This window comes from Homo sapiens, chromosome 13, assembly GCF_000001405.40.
Source record: "Homo sapiens chromosome 13, GRCh38.p14 Primary Assembly".
Taxonomy (NCBI): Eukaryota; Metazoa; Chordata; class Mammalia; order Primates; family Hominidae; genus Homo; species Homo sapiens.
This window is the reverse complement of record NC_000013.11, coordinates 73,167,480-73,171,016: the sequence shown is the minus strand read 5'-3', so window position 1 is coordinate 73,171,016 and position 3,537 is coordinate 73,167,480. Positions and strand designations below refer to the sequence as shown.

The following is a 3,537-nucleotide window of genomic DNA, read 5'->3' as shown; positions in this document are numbered from 1 at the left end:
AACCTGTACCAAGCCATTTTCTTTCCCCCAAGCCCATTGTCTCTAAAGATGCTCATCTTTCGCCTTCAAGCCCTTTTCACAGGTGCAGAAACGTAAAATGCAGAAATGAAGTCTAGGACTATAGATTGTCAATCAGTAAACAAGGAGAGATGTGAGAAATTAGATTCTGTCATAGAAACAAATAATCACATTGGGAGAGTGGAAACGATGATTATTTCCTTGCTAATCATCCTCCTTGAAAAAGATACCTATAAATTAATATGCATTTGATATGGATTATTTTTGACCCGTATGCATTTCAGGAAATAAAAACTGGATTCAGAAAGGCCTGTGAGGCCCAGTGCGGTGGCTCTCACCTGTAATCCCAGCACTTTGGGAGGCCAAGGTGGGTGGATGACCTGAGGTCAGGAGTTTGAGACCAGCCTGGCCGACATGGTAAAACCCCGTCTCTACTAAAAATACAAAAATTTGCCAGGCGTGGTGGCACGCACCTATAGTCCCAGCTACTCGGGAGGCTGAGGCAGGAGAATCACTTGAACCTGGGAGGCGAAGGTTGCAGTGAACCGGGATCATGCCACTACACTCCAGCCTGGGCGACAGAGCAAGACTCTGTCTAAAAAAAAAAAAAGAAAGAAAGAAAAGCCTGTGAGTTGAGGGGAAGGGGTGGTAAATAAGGCTATCCTCTGGGTAAAAGCTCTCAAAGCAAAAAGCTGTCACAGGTCCTCTGCTACATGCTAGTCAAGAGCAACCCAAGATTGAGAGGAGAAATACCTCAACTCCTCCAAAGAACTGCTTCTCCCCACTAGCACCTTCATGGCTAGGAGGTGGGAGGGAGGGTGTTAAGTCAGCTCAGCTGGTATCTTGCTCGGTTTTGCATTTGCATGCATCTGTATCCTCTTTTGTTTCCCCGGAAGTGGAAGTTATTAAAGTATCACAAGAATGCTGGGTCTCACAATGTTCCTGTCTGCCCTGTTCAAGGAAGTAGGCAGAATAGTACACTGGTCCCTGTTCTTGGAAAATTTGCAGCACAAAGAAAAGAAAGAAAAAAAACAGAAAAGATGAGATAAACCCTGATTAAGCAGACAAGCTTCATAATGTTTATCCAAATTAAATCTCTTCACATTGGTGTTTACCCATCATTAATTCTTATGTAATCACATTAGAGGAAAAACGCCTTGCATTAGTGGATGCTGATATTGGCCTTATGAAAGCGAGTTACCTTTTCTTATAGCAAATCTGTAGCAAGCCAATACGGAGGCTCCAGTCAGTTTATCAAAAGTTATCAGTCAAATGGAGTCAGAGGACAGTTCTAATAGAGACTCAAGGATGAAAGAAGAAAATCTGAAAAGAATCACTTTGAAAAGCTTGAGAGCCATTAGATTTGTGAGACCCAGAGCTAGGAAGACAGTAAAAACTGGGAAAACCTGTGATTTTTTTTGATGGGGGACATTTCTTTTTCCTGCCTTTTGTCTGTGAAAATGGCACTTTTGGCTAACAGCTCCAGAACTGCAGGAGGAATGATACATGCAAATGGTTTGCTTCTCATCCCATCTCTCTCTCATGCTTCAGTTCAGCAAAGCAACCCAAGTATCGGCACGAAAATAAGACAACCTAGCCTCCCACTTTGCTTGAATGATTTCCATATCCAGTAGGACAAGTTCTCCTGGGACAGGCCTGTAACCACAGGCACATGTCTCACCCTGTTAAGACGCAACAGCAGGTAAAGCAACCTGAACTCCTCACAGTAGAATCGGGTACACAAACTCACACCCACGCGCAAAAGTGAGGGAAGGCAACCTGGACAAAACTTTCCATCATTTGCTTCCAAAGCAGATATTCCTCAGGGGGAAGGGCGCAGGGAGGGCAGCTCCACGGACAGAGGCGTGCCCAAACCTTTCCACTTGCTTTGTTGTTCTACCTCTGAGCATTCGAGCAGGAATCTGAACCAGATGTGGGGTTAAAAGCATCACTTTGGAAGTTTCTGGGAATGAAAAATGACCTCCTCTCAAAAGAATTTTTTTTTCTACTTTGCTCTTTGTTTAAGTTTCCCTTTTATGGTACTTTCTTTTCTCCCCTCTTTCTCTTAAACCCACTGCACTCCTCTCATTTGGAGCTATCCATTGACACAGGTCGTCCCTCAATCTCTTATTACCCACACTGAAAGTTTCTCTTCTACTGGTGAATAAAACTGGTTCATTCTAGGACATCACCATTGTCCAGTTCTGTTTGTCACATTTTAACTCTTTACTGAGTCACAGGGCCTGGGTAGGACAGGGGACCTTGGTTAACCACTCTGTCATTAATTCAGGCAACAAATATAGAGCATAGTAATAAACAACATGGGCTTGGGACAAAGAACAGAAATGGTTTTAGATTCCAGGTCCAACACTTCACTAGCTGTGTGACCATGGTCATGTCCATGAATATCTTTAAGCCTCAGTTTCCTCACAACATATGGACATAATATACTGTTTGTTACTTTCCACCTGGATTGTTATGAGAATTAAATAAGGTAATGTATGCAAAGCAGTTAGCATAGTGCCTGGCATACAGGAAGCTGAGTAATAGAGGCCATTATCAGCATCATCACAACCATCATTGTTACTAAGCTACACACAGTGCCATGCCAGACAATGGGAAAGAAACATGAATAAGGTTCTGCCACCAAGAAGCTCATAGTCTACTCTTAGACACACACACACATGCTCTAATCCCAGCACTTTGGGAGGCTGAGACAGGTGGATTGCTTGAGGCCAGGAGTTCAAGACCAGCCTGGGAAACATAGTGAGATCCTGTCTCTACAGGGGACAAAAAAAAAAAAAAAAAAAAAAAAAAAAAAAAAGTTTTTTTAAAGAAACAAACACATACTTATTACAGGTCTTTTAAAATTTGTCTAGCAGGTTTTCCAATATTTACTGGAAACCCTCCCCCACCTGCCACACACACAAAAGAAAGACACAGACATGTAAACAAATAATAATATAACAAACTCAATCTGACCTTCTGCCCCCATTTTTCTGAATTCCTTATATTCAAAAAGGTACAGAGCTATGCCTTTGGATCAATGAACTGAAGCTAATTTTTTTTTTTTTTTTTTTTTTTTTTTTTTACTCAACACACTCCCCAAACCACTATCTGTTATTATTTTATTTTTCTCATGAATAGGAACCACCCATGAGAAAATATGCTGCTTTGGAAATCATAAGAAGCTCATTCTCTGGGTTCAAATAAAACCACTACAAATCAGAACAGCAGATTTAGGACCTCCCACCCCAATTCAACATACCCACAATTCCATTAAACCTAGGCAGCTTCTAAAAATCTGATATTAGTGGCCAACATGGCTGGCTCTCAGAATTGTTAATCACGTTAGTAAATGAATCATTCACTAAAGAGATCAGGGCTGGTATTCTGACACTAATTCCCAAAATGCAGAATACAAAACTGAATCATATCTGCCATTTTTAGGTGACTCTGGCCGTGGGCTTAGATTACCAAGCTTTGACAAAATACTGAATTTTTTCTCTGTCGTGCCTT

At 41.6% G+C, this 3,537-nt stretch overlaps 1 pseudogene, besides 1 other annotated feature; it reads left to right on the top strand.

The window, feature by feature from the left end:
• Positions 599 to 1,170: an enhancer, noted in NCBI's record as "OCT4-NANOG hESC enhancer chr13:73743984-73744555 (GRCh37/hg19 assembly coordinates)". NCBI's record gives its function as "activates a minimal SCP1, AML or CMV promoter by ChIP-STARR-seq in primed H9 embryonic stem cells {active_cell/tissue: H9 hESC(primed)}" and the evidence as "EXISTENCE:reporter gene assay evidence [ECO:0000049][PMID:30033119]".
• Positions 2,867 to 2,928, top strand: RNU7-89P (RNA, U7 small nuclear 89 pseudogene; annotated as a pseudogene).